At 41.5% G+C, this 15156-nt stretch overlaps 1 protein-coding gene and 1 non-coding gene across 11 annotated transcripts in view, besides 8 other annotated features; both read right to left on the bottom strand.

Annotated features, from left to right (window-relative positions):
* Nucleotides 3032-3226: a silencer, noted in NCBI's record as "fragment chr17:57919688-57919882 (GRCh37/hg19 assembly coordinates)". NCBI's record gives its function as "represses an EF-1alpha promoter that drives an FKBP-Casp9 reporter gene in an ReSE screen in K562 erythroleukemia cells {active_cell/tissue: K562}" and the evidence as "EXISTENCE:reporter gene assay evidence [ECO:0000049][PMID:32094911]".
* VMP1 (vacuole membrane protein 1) overlaps nucleotides 3298-15156 on the bottom strand; it is a 134602-nt gene continuing 122743 nt past the window's right edge. For 8 of the 10 annotated variants that reach the window (NM_001329394.2, NM_030938.5, NM_001329397.2 and 5 more), the window contains 2 exons: nucleotides 7156-7258; nucleotides 3298-5785 (listed from right to left, as the gene is read on the bottom strand). In NM_001329394.2, coding sequence (NP_001316323.1) covers nucleotides 5642-5785; nucleotides 7156-7258 — 247 coding nt within the window. In that variant the 3' untranslated portion in view covers nucleotides 3298-5641. Of the gene's footprint in view, nucleotides 5786-7155; nucleotides 7259-11502; nucleotides 11542-15156 lie in introns of all 10 variants that reach the window. The other 2 variants (NM_001329395.2, NM_001329398.2) reach the window with 1 other exon arrangement.
* On the bottom strand, nucleotides 4216-4287 carry MIR21 (microRNA 21). Its single transcript, NR_029493.1, has one exon. It is a non-coding gene; the product is annotated as a microRNA 21 (primary transcript).
* Nucleotides 4512-5241: an enhancer, noted in NCBI's record as "OCT4-NANOG-H3K27ac hESC enhancer chr17:57917673-57918402 (GRCh37/hg19 assembly coordinates)". NCBI's record gives its function as "activates a minimal SCP1, AML or CMV promoter by ChIP-STARR-seq in naive H9 embryonic stem cells {active_cell/tissue: H9 hESC(naive)}" and the evidence as "EXISTENCE:reporter gene assay evidence [ECO:0000049][PMID:30033119]".
* Nucleotides 5965-8302: an enhancer, noted in NCBI's record as "VISTA enhancer hs1656". NCBI's record gives its function as "enhancer in: heart[6/8]" and the evidence as "EXISTENCE:transgenic organism evidence [ECO:0001131][PMID:17130149]".
* Nucleotides 5965-8343: a biological region, named in NCBI's record as "VISTA enhancer hs1656".
* Nucleotides 6704-7433: an enhancer, noted in NCBI's record as "H3K27ac hESC enhancer chr17:57915481-57916210 (GRCh37/hg19 assembly coordinates)". NCBI's record gives its function as "activates a minimal SCP1, AML or CMV promoter by ChIP-STARR-seq in primed H9 embryonic stem cells {active_cell/tissue: H9 hESC(primed)}" and the evidence as "EXISTENCE:reporter gene assay evidence [ECO:0000049][PMID:30033119]".
* Nucleotides 6939-8138: an enhancer, noted in NCBI's record as "BRD4-independent group 4 enhancer chr17:57914776-57915975 (GRCh37/hg19 assembly coordinates)". NCBI's record gives its function as "activates an origin of replication core promoter dependent on BRD2, P300/CBP, MED14 and CDK7 cofactors, and independent of BRD4, by STARR-seq in HCT116 cells {active_cell/tissue: HCT116}" and the evidence as "EXISTENCE:reporter gene assay evidence [ECO:0000049][PMID:35650434]".
* Nucleotides 7884-8343: an enhancer, noted in NCBI's record as "active region_12517". NCBI's record gives its function as "activates an Ori minimal core promoter by ATAC-STARR-seq in GM12878 lymphoblastoid cells {active_cell/tissue: GM12878}" and the evidence as "EXISTENCE:reporter gene assay evidence [ECO:0000049][PMID:35858748]".
* Nucleotides 10444-10943: an enhancer, noted in NCBI's record as "H3K27ac hESC enhancer chr17:57911971-57912470 (GRCh37/hg19 assembly coordinates)". NCBI's record gives its function as "activates a minimal SCP1, AML or CMV promoter by ChIP-STARR-seq in naive H9 embryonic stem cells {active_cell/tissue: H9 hESC(naive)}" and the evidence as "EXISTENCE:reporter gene assay evidence [ECO:0000049][PMID:30033119]".

Here is a 15156-nt window from a genome sequence, read left to right as displayed (position 1 = left end):
GACACAAGGGTTTTGTGTGTAGTATCTCATTTACGTTGTGTAAATACTGGAGAGGATTCAATAAATGTTAGAGATAAAATGTTACTTGGCTTTTCAAAAACTTTAAACTCCTGCTTAGTTTTAATTTTTTGTAGCACCTCAAAAAATTATTTATGAATAAAATGAAGCAGTTGTTTGTATTTTTTAATAGAAATGAGACTCTTAGGTCTATTGAGGAAGATCTTGCATGCCATCAATTTTTTCATGGTTCAAAACCTATTTACCCAGCAAATCTCACTGTATTTTCTAGACTGACCTTGTAACAAGTATTAAAAGCTGATACTCCCTTTTCTCCTCTTTCCTTCCAGATGTTTTAGTATTTATATATATATTTTTTGAGGCAGGGTCTGTGTCACTCAGGCTGGAGTGCAGTGACACAATCACGGCTCACTAATGAGGTGATCCACCTCAGCCTGGGACTATAGGCACATACTGTCACACTTGGCTAACTTTTAAATATTTTGTAGGGAGGTCTCATTATGTTGTCCAGGCTGGTCTCGAACTCCTGGGCTCAGGAGTGATTTGCCTGCCTTGGCCTACCAAAGTGCTAGAATTACAGGCATGAGCAACCATGATAACCAATATTCTTTATAATGAAAATAAATTAGAAAATGGTCAATATTTTCAGGTGGGAAAGTTAAAAAACTGTTTTTGGTTTTAAATTCTTCGGTAAATTTTTCACTTATCAAAAGTTTGACAGAGTATCTGCTAGAAAACCAGAGCACATATGCTAAGAAAGCATTTTAAAATATATCTTTGTTTCTGGAGGAGTGAATGCAATGTTGTGAAATTCTTGCATGTGTATCAGATGCTCACTTTTTTTTTTTTTTTTTTTTTTTTTTTGCGAGATGGTGTCTTGCTCTGTTGCCCAGGCTGGAGTGCAGTGGCACGATCTCAGGTCACTGCAACGTCTGCCTTCCGGGTTCAAGTGACTCTCCTGCCTGTTTCCCGAGTAGCTGAGATTACAGGCATACGCCACCACGCCTGGCTAATTTTTGTATTTTTAGTAGAGATAGGGTTTCACCATGCTGGCCAGGCTGGTCTTGAACTCCTGACCTCAAGTGATCCTGTCTTGGCCTCCCAAAAGGCTGGGATGACAGGCGTGAGCCACTGTGCCTGGCCTCAGTCTTTCATTGGGAATGCCCAGCATGGTGGCTCACACCTGTCATCCCAGCACTTTGGGAGGCCACGGCAGGATCGCTCGAGCCTGGGAATTCAAGACTGGCCTGGGCAAAATATTGAGACCCTGTCTTTACAAAAAATTAAAAAATTACCCAGGTATGGTGGTTCATGCTGGTCCTTGCCAGGGAGGCTGAGGTAGGAGAATTTCTTGAGCCTGGGAGGTCAAGGCTGTAAAGAGCCATGACTGTGCCACCACACTCCAGCCTGGGTGACACAGTAAAACCTCACTCTCAAAAAAAAAAAAAAAAAAAAAAAAAAGCTGGGGTGGTGGAGGTGGATAACTTTTATTGCTGTACTTTTACTGAACTCTTTTTTGTTTGTTTGTTTTGAGACGGAGTTTCACTCTTGTTGCCCAGGCTGGAGTGCAATGGCAAGATCTCGGCTCACTGCAACCTCTGCCTCCTGGGTTCAAGCGATTCCTGCCTCAGCCTCCCGAGTAGCTGGGATTACAGGCATGTGCCACCGTGCCTGCTACATTTTTGTATTTTTAGTAGAGATGTGATTTCGCCATGTTGGTTAGGCTGGTCTCGAACTCAGGTGATCTGCCCACCTTGGCCTCCCAAAGTGCTGGGATTACAGGCGTGAGCCACCATGCCCGGCCCTATTTATTGAACTCTTGGCCTAAAAGGGATCCTCCTGCCTTGGCCTCCCAAAGTATTAGGATTATAAGCATGAGCCACTGCACCCAGCCTATTTCAGTACTTTACATGTTACCAGATTTATTCCTTAGGTAAACTGTCCTTCTATCTCTTTTATTTTTATAGATGAAAGAAACTGAGGCTCTTTTAAACTTTCTCAGGTCACAAACAATGTAGAAGAAACCCGAACCGTCATTAACATAGACTATTACACATGGGGGAAAATGGGTTTTAAAGTAATATATATGGAAAGGCTTTTTGACACTGAAAGGTTGGGAATCTCTGTGATCTTCTTACACATGGGTCAGGCTAAACAATTTGCTTCAGGGTACATGAGCGCAACTGGTTATTTAGCTAGTGCATGATCCATACTCAAATGAGTCATTATTGAATGACTGGTGAAATGACAAAAAGCCTCATGTTCTACTAAGGCTGTGGATAGCACAGAGCACACTGGGGGCAGAGGCTGAGCGTGTTTGTGTAGGAGCACTCAATACTGCATATGTTTCAATAATTAACTAGTGTATTTAAGAAACTTCATTCTACGTGGGCATGGTGGCTCACGTCTGTGAACCCAGAACTTTGGGAGACCGAGGCAGGTGGATCACCTCAGGTCAGGAGTTCGAGACCAGCCTGACCAACATGGCCAAACCCCGTCTCTACTAAAAATACAAAAACTAGCCTGGTGTGGTGGTGGGCGCCTGGAATCCCAACTACTCCAGAGGCTGAGGCAGGACAATCGCTTGAACCTGGGAGGCGGAAGTGGCAGTGAGCCGAGATTGTACCATTGCACTCTAGCCTGGGCGACGGAGCAAGACTCTGTCTCAAAAAAAAAAAAAAAAAAAAAAAAAGTAACTTCATTCTAGCATTCGTAGGGAATGGAGAGGTGGCCACTATCCAAATGAAACTAAAAACCTTTTTCTTCCCAGACTCATACTCCAGATTATGCACACAGAGAATACAGAAAACTATGGGAAAACTGGACATTGCACATTTTCATATGACATCATCTGTTATTTTTTTTGTCTTGCTCTGTCACCCAGGCTGGAGTGCAGTGGCGCCATCTCGGCTCACTGCAAACTCTGCTTCCTGCGTTCAAGGGATTCTCCTGCCTCAGCCTCCTGAATAGCTGGGATTACAGGCGTGCACCACCACGCCCGGCTAATTTTTTATATTTTTAGTAGAGATGGGGTTTCGCCATGTTGGCCAGGCTGGTCTCAAACTCCTGACCTCAGGTGATCTGCCCGCCTTGGCCTCCCAAAGTGCTGGGATTACAGGTGTGAGCCACCGCGCCCGGCCGACATTGTCTGTTTTAAGGGAGGTATTCCTCAGCTCTTCGGTGATAAACTGCTGATGTATTGCACTGCCTGACAGTCACCAAGTTGGAACATGATAAATACTGCAGATGTGTAAGGCACAAAATGAGACTTATACAAAGTAGAGATGGAATCGCAAGAATTCCCAGGCCCTCTTTTTATTTACAGTGATACCAAACCATCCACTTGCAAATTCTTTGGTCTCCCATCAGCTGGAATTAAGTAGGTACTGTGTATCTTTGAGATCATGTATTTGTCTCCACTTTGGTGGATACAAGAAAGGAAGGCACGAACAGCTGAAAAAGAAGGGTATCACACCGCTCCAGCTGGAATCCAGCAGGAACCTCTGAGCATGCCACAGCTGAACACTTAAAAGAGGAAAGAAGGACAGCTGCTCTTCATTTATTTTGAAAGCAAATTCATTTGAAAGTGCATAAATGGTCATCATAAGTCAAACGTATCAATTAGACCTTCAACCTAGGAAACAAAATTTTTTTTTTCTATTTAATAATACACCACACTGAAATTATTTGCCAATGAATCCCAAAGATTTGGTACAAATAGTACAATTCGTATTTGCTTTCCTCTTTCCTTTCTTCAGACAAACACCAAATAAAATGCAGGTGAAAGAGATGAACCACGACTAGAGGCTGACTTAGAAATTTATGCTGACTCGATCTAAAAAAAATTATGTTGGTTAATGTTAATCTATCTAAAATAGAGCATTTTGGGAATGCTTTTCAAAGAAGGTCAAGTAACAGTCATACAGCTAGAAAAGTCCCTGAAAAAAAGAATTGTTAAGAAGTATAATAACCTTTTCAAAACCCACAATGCAGCTTAGTTTTCCTTTATTTATTTGTGGTCATGAAGACTATCCCCATTTCTCCATAAAATCCTCCCTCCATACTGCTGCATTATGGCACAAAAGACTCTAAGTGCCACCAGACAGAAGGACCAGAGTTTCTGATTATAAACAATGATGCTGGGTAATGTTTAAATGAGAACATTGGATATGGATGGTCAGATGAAAGATACCAAAATGTCAGACAGCCCATCGACTGGTGTTGCCATGAGATTCAACAGTCAACATCAGTCTGATAAGCTACCCGACAAGGTGGTACAGCCATGGAGATGTCACGATGGTAGGCAAAACAAGCAGACAGTCAGGCAGGATTTGATAAAAAAACAAAAACAAAAACAAACCAAAAAAACCCAGGCATTTCTGGCCTGTTAAGATCGAACCCCAATTCTATTCTATTCTGACATAATGCTCATAATGCTCCTAAAGGAAAAAAGTAAAATTGTTTATTTTCCTCCCAAGCAAAACAAAATGAACAAGTTCAATCAAAAACATCCCAATGGAAAAAAATCACACTAAGAATAAAACACTTACAGAACGGCAAGAAAACTGGGTTAACATATAAATTTGTGTCTGTTGAAACCAGAGTACATGCTAGAAAACATTAACACAGATACGACAGAGTGTGGTTTTTTTTTAGAAATGGGTAATTTCTCTCTCCAGTATCCTTTCACTTGTATGAGATATTTCTCCTCTCCTGTTTTCACAAACCAAGAAATCCCCAGGTAGGCCAATCCCAGAGGTGCCATTTAGCAGTATGCAGCAGCCCAGTTTCAGCATAACAAAACATGCCTTGGTAGTGGCTCTCTCATGCAAATAAAAGAAAGCTTAAGAAATTCTTGTTGTAGGTGGATTAGGCAAGGCTGCCATTCAGCTGGTATAAGCTAAAAGTAAAAAATCAAAACGCTCAAGAAAACGGACACAATTTTGGAATGATTAAAGATGTCTTTATAAAGTTTTTTTCAAGACTTCATTCTAAATACACAGAATAAAAAATGGTGTCAGCTCACTTGTAAGACACCAACCAGATTTTCCTTATACTGTCTCAAAATTTAAAGATCAATTTCCCCAGAGGGTGTGCAATGCATCATAAAATGGCCCTTTTTTGAGGATGGGAGAGGAAGGGTTGGGCAGGATGGAATATTAAATTGTAACATGATAAACATGCAAGACTGTTATCCAATCTAGATAATTTATATACATTTTGATGACTTAGGAAAACAAAGCAATCATTTGTGACAAGCCTAAAAAGCTTGACATATTTAACATACTTAGGAACTTTTTTTGTGCGGTGGGAATTCTCTAATTGTATCATGTGGGCCTTTTGAAAGTAACAAACAGAAGGCCAGTCTGTTGCAAGTTTGCTGCTGAACATCACATTCCACCCTAAGAAAACACAAGGTGGATTGCATCGAGGGTGGATACCTTACCTTAGCACAGAAGGAAAAAGTATGTCAGTGCAAAGTATGGACTAAACTGCTTTCAGGAAAAAAGTTGTAAAAATTGATACAGGTTGGAAAAGGGAATTTTCCTTCCCGGCTTGGAGTCCTCCCAATTTAAGGCAGAACCCATCCACTCCAATTTCTGCAGTTTAAAACTTTCTCTACTTATTTAGTTTTCTCCTCTGAGTTCAACCGCTGCTGGATTCGTTTGGCATAACTTTGTGCCATGGAGTTAATGATAGATAGGATGAAGTAACACACCATGACAACGACCAACTTTTCAAACATCCAGGACAACCAGTTTTCTCCCTGTAGAAATAAATGCAGAACAATGCAATGAAAAAGGCTTCATTAGTTCAGTAGTAAAAAGAGGATCATCTATAATGCTTGAAGTGTGTAACTTACAAAACCTAAAGAATTAAAAATGAAAAGTAAGCAACCCCAACTACTCTGAAATCTCCATTACTCTCCTTTTTACACCCAACTATCAAGATTTCACTTTGTTGGATGTAAAATCAGTGTTGAATCACATAGTTTAGAATGGGATGAGTGTGAGGTTAGCTCTTCTACTAGGACCTAAGAATAAACTCTTTGATTAAACTCAACTCTGAAGTCGCCATGCAGATACTCATGAGTATTGTCAAGACAGTTAAATATTTTTGTTCCAGTATTAGGAGCTGTTTTTAAAACACACAAATGTATCTGTTTCTGATGTCATGTTTGGTCAACTGAGGGCAGCAAAGGTCCATAAGAAGAGTGCAAGGCCATTAAAAAAAACAGTGCTCTGGCCGGGCGCGGTGGCTCACATCTGTAATCCCAGCACTTTGGGAGGCCAAGGCGGGCGGATCATCTGAGGTCAGTTTGAGACCAGCCTGGCTAACACGGTGAAACCCTGTTTCTATTAAAATACAAAAAATTAGCTGGTGTGGTGGCACGTGCCTGGAATCACAGCTACTTGGGAGGCTGAGGCAGGAGAATCGCTTGAACCCGGGAGGCGGAGGTTGCAGTGAGCCAAGATCGCGCCATTGCACTCCAACTTGGGCAACGAGAGCGAAATTCTGTCTCAAAAAAACCCCAAAGAACAAAAAACGAACCAAACAAAACAAAACAAAAAAAACCTGTGCTTCCCTCGAGTTTCCCATTTCAGGTTATTGTTTACTCATCCTCTTCTAGTCATTTCCCTTTGCCTCAGAATCGTTTACAGAAAAGACAGTCTAAGTTTTAAAGTTCAGCTATGGTAAGAGCCTTGGTTTATTAAAAAATTATCATTTTCCCATGGGTGAAAAGAAAAATAGAGTGAAAATCAAAAGGAGATATTCAAGTCACCTCAGTAAGTCTAATACTTTGTTATGCTGTAAGTTTTAACTTTTTAATCCACTTGGGAAGTATATCTACCAATACATCATTTAAGATCAAGGCAACAACTCATTCTATGTAACAGAACCATTACTTTCCATTGGCTCTACCCTTGTTTTTAGGAGAAGATGTACAGAAGTTACACTTTCTAGTCTAAGACAAAGACAAATTTCCCAGTAGAGCATACACAGACGCTCAACTTCTGTCAAGGAACACTGGCAAACCAACTTCACTTATTTGCCTAAAAATGTGAGTGAGAGCTGTGAATGTAATTTCAGCCCGAAACTTCCCAGAGGGGAGAAGAAACCGGATTAAAGTCTTACCTGTGGTGTGCCCATTTCGCTTTTGTGGTGAAGCTTCTGCCGTTGAGCCTCCAGGTACTCCTGAAATGGCTTCTGCAGAGATGGACCTATGCCGGGGACAGCACTGGAAGCAGGGTACAGTAGCCCAAAGAAAAAGACACATTTGGGAAGAAAAGCAGGAAAAACGTTAAAGAAAATGTACTTACCACCTGGACTCAAAAGGCAGGGATTGGATAGGAAGAGGAATAAAATATAAAAATCAGAGAACTGCTGAAATTCTGTGACCCCTTTTTAGTTAAAAAAAAAAAAAAAAAAAAAGAAAATTTACTCCATCTAACAACCCCTTAAAAACCAAAATCTCTCCCACCAACATGTCTGGGAGAAACCAAGAGCTGTAAATCAGAAACCGCTTCCAGCAAAAGAGTTAGTCCTCAGAGTAAGGTCAGCTCAGCTGATACTGTACTCTGGTATGGCACAAAGAATAAAATGAATGACTTCTCAGAAGTCCCACATTTATCACCACTAGTTCCTGTAAGAACTGGTTTGAACCAATTAATAAGGAAATGACTTATGCTTGTGTCATCCCTAGTTAAAAAAGAAACTGCCCGCCCTCTCTCTGACTTGTCCCCTCTTCTCAGAGGGGGCGGTCTTTCTCAATCTAAGTCCTTATTAGGACAATCTGTGCGTCATCCTTATCCAAAAAGAATGCATTAGCAAACTTGGGAGGCACCTCCCACTAGTCAGAAGTCAGTGATTAACAAAGGAACAAAGAAGGAACTATGAACTTTGAATCCTTTCATGGTTTATGGTAGACAGTTTGCACAGAAACTCCAGTACATTAGTAACAGCTTGTTCTGAGATGATTGGGATAGTGATCTTTGATAAATTTATGTACTCGGAGCTCCTTCTTACCCAGAATACATGGAGGCAGTGCTGTTAAACCGGTTTGGCAACTGTAGCTAACAGGCTCCTGTTTTAGACATGCTTGCAGGCGTTTTTAAAAACGGTAGCTTGGGGCAACTTAGAAAAATCAAACATCTCTATTTTCTGTACCTTTTAGTTTCTTACCTGTTACATAGGGCTAAGGAGGTAAATAAGTTCAAACTCTTTCTTAGAGCCAGCCAAAGAGATTCCGATATGTACTTGCAACACTGCCTAATGCTTGTCCTATTAAGTACACTGACTCAAATTCACTTCACTTCACTTTTTTTTTTTTGAGACAGAGTCTCACTCTGTCCCCCAGGCTGGAGTGCAATGGCCTGATCTCGGCTCACTGCAACCTCTACCTCCAGGGTTCAAGTGATTCTCCTGCCTCAGCCTCCCAAGTAGCTGGGATTACAGGCGCTTGTCACCATGCCTGGCTATTTTTTTTTGTATTTTTAGTAGAGATGGGGTTTCACCATCTTTGCCAGGCTGGTCTTGAACTCCTGACCTCGTGATCCCCCTTCCTCGGCCTCCCAAAGTGCTGGGATTACAGGTGTGAGCCACCGCGACTGGCCTTCACTTCTTTTCTAGAACAATTCCTTGCTGCTTTTTATAACAAAAAGCAGGAATAGAAGAGTTTTTGCTATTATATTTTATCAGATGCTAACATATCCCTAACTTCTGGCTGATTCTTTTCTTTAATCCTTTTTATCTATCAGTCACCAAATACTTAATTGATTCCTTTTGCTGGGAAAAAAGCCAAAAAAAAAAAAAACCAAACTGCCCACAAGGAACTTAAAATCATTTATGGGGATTTGGATTCAAAACATAGGCAGATGCGCACACATGTGTGCGCACACACACACACGAACTGATCTGTGAACAAAATAATTTACAATTCAATATTAAAGTTTTTGGTACAGAAGATATATACCGAAGGAATTGGAGGGAGAAAAGAGAGATCAGTGAGGGGTGAAGTTGTTAAAAAGGTCCTCTAGGCCATGTGTGGTGGCTCACGCTTGTAATCCCAGCACTTTGGGAGGCCAAGATGGGAGGATGGCTTGAGCCCAGGAGTTCAATACCATCCTGGGAAACATGGTGAAACCCTGTCTCTACAAAAAATACAAAAATGAGCTGAGAATGGTGGCATGTGCCTGTAGTCCCTGCTACTCAGGAGGCTACAGTGAGAGCCCAGGAAGCTCAGGGCTGCACTGTACTCCAGCCTCGGTGACAGAGACCCTGCCTCAAAAAAATAAATAAATAAATAAAAATAAAAATAAAAAAATAAAAAAAAGATTCTTTAATGAATACTGAAGGAGGTACAAAAGGCCTGAACAGACATATATAATAAATGTGAATACTGCACTGATCAGACTAGAAGACCTGTGACAGACATAAAAGATGCTGTGAACAATCGAGAAAACTCATTACCTTCAGACTAGCCTCTCACTGAGCCACCGCTCCTGGCCCTGACTTTTAAGCAGACTTATATTAGGGAGGCAGACTAGTAATCTTTCCTTATATATTACAGGTGGGAATGCAAATAGCTCATCCATTTAGACTAGAAATAAATGACATGAATATAACAAATATATAAAATATTTTAAATATTTAATATATTAAATATATATAATTAAATATATGTATTTTTGTGTATATAAATATATGCACAAAAAGGTTGACTTTGAAAACTGCAAATTTATGTGGCCGGGAGCAGTGGCTCATGCCTGTAATCCCAGCACTTTGGGAGGCCGAGGCGGGCGGATCACCTGAGGTCGGGAGTTCGAGACCAGCCTGACCAATATGGAGAAAACCCGTCTCTACTAAAAATACAAAATTAGCCAGGCGTGGTGGCACATGCACAGAATCCCCACTACTAGTGAGGCTGAGGCAGGAGAATCGCTTGAACCTGGGAGGCAGAGGTTGCAGTGAGCCGAGATCATGCCATTGCACTCCAGCCTGGGCAACGAGAGTGAAACTCTGTCTCAAAAAAAAAAAAAACAAAAAACTGCATATTTATAAGAACTTTCCTTCTCATAAATCAATGTTTTCACTTTAACAGTACTCTGGCCAGGTGCAGTGGCTCACACCTGTGATCCCAGCACCAGGGGAGGCTGAGGTGGGCAGATCACGAGGTCAGGAGTTCGAGACCAGCCTGGCCAACACAGTGAAACCCTGTCTCTACTAAAAATACAAAAATTAGCTGGGTGTGGTGGCACACGCCTGTAATCCCAGCTACTCGGGAGGCTGAGGCCGAAGAATCGCTTGAACCCAGGAAGTGGAGGTTGCAGTGAGCTGAGACCACGCCATTGCACTCCAGCCTGGGCGACAGAGTGAGACTCCGTCTCAAAAAAAAAAACAAACAAAAAAGCAAAAAAACAAAACAGCCTGGCCAACATGGTGAAACCCTGTCTCTACCAAAAAGACAAAAATTAGGCCAGCCATGGTGGTTCACGCCTGTAATCCTAGCACTTTGGGAGGCCGAGGCAGGTGGATCACCTGAGGTCAGGAGTTCAAGACCAGCCTGGCCAACATGGCGAAACCCTGTCTCTACCAAAAAGACAAAAATTAGACCAGCCTCGGTGGTTCACACCTGTAATCCTAGCACTTTGGGAGGCCGAGGCAGGTGGATCACCTGAGGTCAGGAGTTCAAGACCAGCCTGGCCAACATGGTGAAACTCCATCTCTACTAAAATACAAAAATTAGCCGGGCATGATGGAGAGTGCCTGCAATCCCAGCTACTCAAGAGGCTGAGATGGGAGAATCACTTGAACCCAGGAGATGGTGGTTGCAGTGAGCCCAGATCGCACCACTCCACTCCAGCCTGGGCAGCTCAGCAAGACTCCGTCTCAAAAAAAAAAAAAAAATTAGCTGGGCATGGTGGCAGGTGTCTGTAATCTCAGCTACTTGGGAGGCTGAGATGGGACAATCGCTTGAACCCGGGAGATGGTGGTTGCAGTGAGCCTAGATCGCACCACTCCACTCCAGCCTGGGCAGCTAAGCTAGACTCCGTCTCAAAATAAAAAAACCAAAAAAACAAAAAACCCCCCCAAAAAACAAAAGTAGCCAGGCACGGTGGCACATGCCTGTAATCTCAGCTACTAGTGGGGGCTGAGGCAGGAGGATCCGCTTGAACCTGGGAGGCGGAGGTTGCAGTGAGCTGAGATCATGCCATTGCACTCTACCCTGGGCAACAGAGTGAGACTCCATCTCAAACAAAAACAAAAACAAAAACAAGGCTGGGTGCGGTGGTTCATGCCTGTAATCCCAGCATTTTGGGAGGCTAAGGCAGGCGGATCACTTGAGGTCAGGAGTTCGAGACCAGCCTGGCCAACATGGTGAAACCCCGTCTCTACTAAAAATACAAAAAATAAGCCAGGTTTGGTGGCGGGCGCCTGTAATCCCAGCTACTCGGGGGGCTGAGGCAGGAGAATCGCTTGAACCTGGGAGGTGGAGGTTGCAGTGCGCCATTGTCCTCCAGCCTGGGGAAAAAGAGGGAAACTCCGTCTCAAAACAAAACAAAAACAAAAATAAAAAACAGTACTGTAAATTGTCATTTAAATCTACCAGGGATAGCCATAGTCAAGCCATTATTTAAGAGAAAATTAAGAACCAAGACCCAAATGTTACAAAGAGTATGTTTTTGTTGTTTAGGGAAATGAGGAAGGGACTGGAAATAATAATTCTAGATTCCCTTCAAAATAATTTGAAAAGGTAAATAATTTACCATTGTAAGTCCATTAAGAGATACACTTTATGTACCCATAATAATTTTAAAAAGAGATACACTTTAGCTGATAGATACATTTTAGCTGATAGAGTACATCATATGATGTGTATTCACATGATGTATAACTTATCTTGAGGATAATGCTGAGATTAATATACCAATTTGTTATGTGTCTCTATGGAGGTTTCCATGAAAGACTAGGAAAACAGTTGAAAACAGACAAGAGGTTAAAAGTTTTATTTATTATTATTATTATGTTTCTTTTTATATTTTGTAGAGATGGAGTCTCACTATGTTGCCCAGGTGGGTCTCAAATTCCTGGCCTCAAAAGATCCTCCCACCTTGGTTTCCCAAACTGTCATCAAAATTTTAGTTACTTCTGTTTTTCATTTCTCTACCTCTACAATGACTTAGGCTACTGATGCCTCAGCTTCAACAAAGTACTCTTATACTATAGTTTGCTTAATTATCACTAAAGCTATTTTAGTAACGGACTAGATAAAAATAGAAATTACAGCTCTCACTCTTAACATGCATTTAAGGCAAACAATAATGCCAGCTCTAAATCTCATGTGTCAAGTTATTCTCAAGCAGCAGACCAGAAGCAAGAGTCCATTCTGACACTTAAGATTAATTTAAAGTGCACACACGGTGGGAGTAATAATTTGCAACACAGTTCAAAGGCTTTCTATAGTTGGTTTAGGAAATACCCTAAATGCCATTCTCCCTAAGCCATTACATTCTTGCAACCCTGTGCACCTTGCTAAAGATGCTAATCTCATCCCATAGTTAAGTTGGGGAAGTCCTCCAATTTGCCCTTAAGCTCTGATTAAATTCAAAGAATTACCATTTCGGCCGGGCATGGTGGTTCATGCCTGTAATCACAGCACTTTGGGAGGCCGAGGTGGGCAGATCACCTGAGGTCAGGAGTTCGAGACCAGCCTAGCCAACATGGTGAAACCCTGTCTCTACTAAAAATACAAAAAAAAAAAAAAAAAAAAATATTGCCAGGCACGGTGGTGGGCGCCCATAATCCCAGCTACTCGGGAGGCTGAGGAAGGAGAATCGCTTGAACCCGGGAGGCGAAGGGTGCAGTGAGCCGAGATTGTGCCACTGCACTCCAGCCTGGGCGACAGAGCGAGACTCTGTCTCAAAACAAAACAAAACAAAACAAAACAAAACAAAACAAATAACTACAATTTTGTGACATAGAAGAACATAAAGTAGAAGGAGAACAAATGGACATAGAACTATTTTTTCAGTCAACTGCAGGACTAAAATATACCTAAACTAGCTATGTAAGTAGGTACTTGCTCTAGGTGAGAAAGCCTTAGAAAAACAAAAAAAGAAGTAGGTTGGGCACCATGGCTCAGGAGTTCGAGACCAGCCTGGGCAACATGGCGAAATCCTGTCTCTACTAAAAATATAAAAAAATTAGCCAGGTGTGATGGCACGTGCCTGTAGTCCCAGCTACTCGGGAGGCTGAGGCATGAGAATTGCTTGAACCTGGGTAGTGGAGGCTGCAATGAGCTGAGATTGCACTCCAGTCTAGGTGACAAAAAAAAAAAAAAAAAAAAAAAAGTTGATCTCATTTGCTTTTCCTTGCTGTGAACCTTGAACACAGTGGGTAGAAAAATCTTAGTGGGTAGTAGTATCTTCATATTTTTATTCCTGGCACAAACATAACAGCAAATGTAAGATTAAAAAAAATTTTTCCACCAGGCATGGTGGCGCATGCCTGTAGTCCCAGCTAATCTGGAGGCTGAGCAGGAGGCTCTCTTGAGCCCAGGAGTTGGGATGGAGGCTTAGTGAGCTATAATCACGCCTGTGAATAGCCACTGCATTCCAGCCTGGGTAAAATAGTGAGATCCTGTCTCCGAAACAAACAAACACATTTCCAACAAATGATGCTAGTGGCAATTTTTACACTTTTGTTATTGTTAACTTCTGTTAAAAAAAAAACTCAGGAATGCAAATAAAATTTTTTTTTTTATTTAAAGAAAAAAACACAGACTTGAAACCTACTCAGAGCTCAAAATTGGTTTCATGGGAACAATATTTTCCCATGCTTACATACCTAGAATCTGTTAAACAGACCTAAGACAAACTTCTTGGCAAGCTTAAATATTGTAAAAAAAAAAAAAAAAAAAATCCATTCAAAATAACATTTGGGCAAAATTCTGCCAAGAGCCCTTGCCAAATTGCAAACAAAATCTATTATTTTTCTATGGTTTTTAATATATATGTTACTCTGCTTCTGGAAATCACTTATGTGACAAGAAATCTGTATTTTAGGCTGGGTGTGATGGGTCATGCTTGTAATCCCAGCACTTTGGGAGACTGAGGCAGGAGGACTTGAGGCCAAGAGTTTGAGATCAGCCTGGGCAACATAGTGAGAACCCTGTCTCTACAAAAGTTTAAAAAAGTAGCTGGGTGTGATGGCAAGTGCCTGTAGTCCTAGCTATTCAAGAGGCTGAGATGGGAGGATCCTGTGAGCCTAGGAGTTCAAGGTTAAAGTAAGCTAGGATTGAACCACTGCACTCCACCCTTGGTGAAAGAGCAAGACCCTGTCTCTCTCTCAATAAATCAATAGATTAGATAGATAGATAATAAATAAGTAAGATCTGAAATCTGGCCAGGCAGGATAGGGTGGCTCATGCCAGTAATCCGAGCACTTTGGGAGGCTGAGGTGGGAGGACTGCTTGAGTCTAAGAGTTCAAGATCAGCTTGGGCAACACAGTAAGACTCCTGTCTCTACACCCACACAGAAAATTAACCAGGTGTGGTGCACACCTGTAGTCCTAGTTACTCAAGAGGCTGAGTGGGGAGGACTGCTTGAGCCCTCCTAGGAGGTTGAGGCTGTAGTGATCTAAAATCACACCACTACACTCCAGCCTGGGCTACAGAGGGAGAACCTGTTTCTTAAAACACCAACAAAAAAGATTGATTCACCTTGTTTAGCCCTATTTACAGAGTGTATACTTAAAGTCTAAGCAGTTGAAGTCTCTAAGCCTAAGAATATTTTACCAGCATTAATAAAGTAAATTTTTTATTTAATATAGGCTCTGCTCCTTTCTCAAATACTTTTTTGAGGATCTCAGCATTAATGTGAGCATATAGGTTATATTTACCCTCCTGAAAAACATTCTGACATAAATTCTAGTAAGGAGGCGATAGCCTCTTTACAAAGAGTAATAAGCCTTTTGTCTTAGAAAAAAGTCTGGGCACAACAGTTTTTTACCTTTATTTCATTGTTTGTGCTGGGTTAGTATTCCCTCTGATGATTAATCACAAAGTCTAAAGAATCTCAGGGTGTCATAAGTCAGATCCCTGAAAGCTTATAAATGAAAAAAAAAATTTTTCAGGA

The sequence above is a fragment of the Homo sapiens genome, chromosome 17, assembly GCF_000001405.40.
Source record: "Homo sapiens chromosome 17, GRCh38.p14 Primary Assembly".
In the NCBI taxonomy this organism is placed as follows: domain Eukaryota; kingdom Metazoa; phylum Chordata; class Mammalia; order Primates; family Hominidae; genus Homo; species Homo sapiens.
The sequence above is the reverse complement of the archived record's forward strand: the minus strand, read 5'-3'. Positions and strand labels throughout refer to the sequence as shown.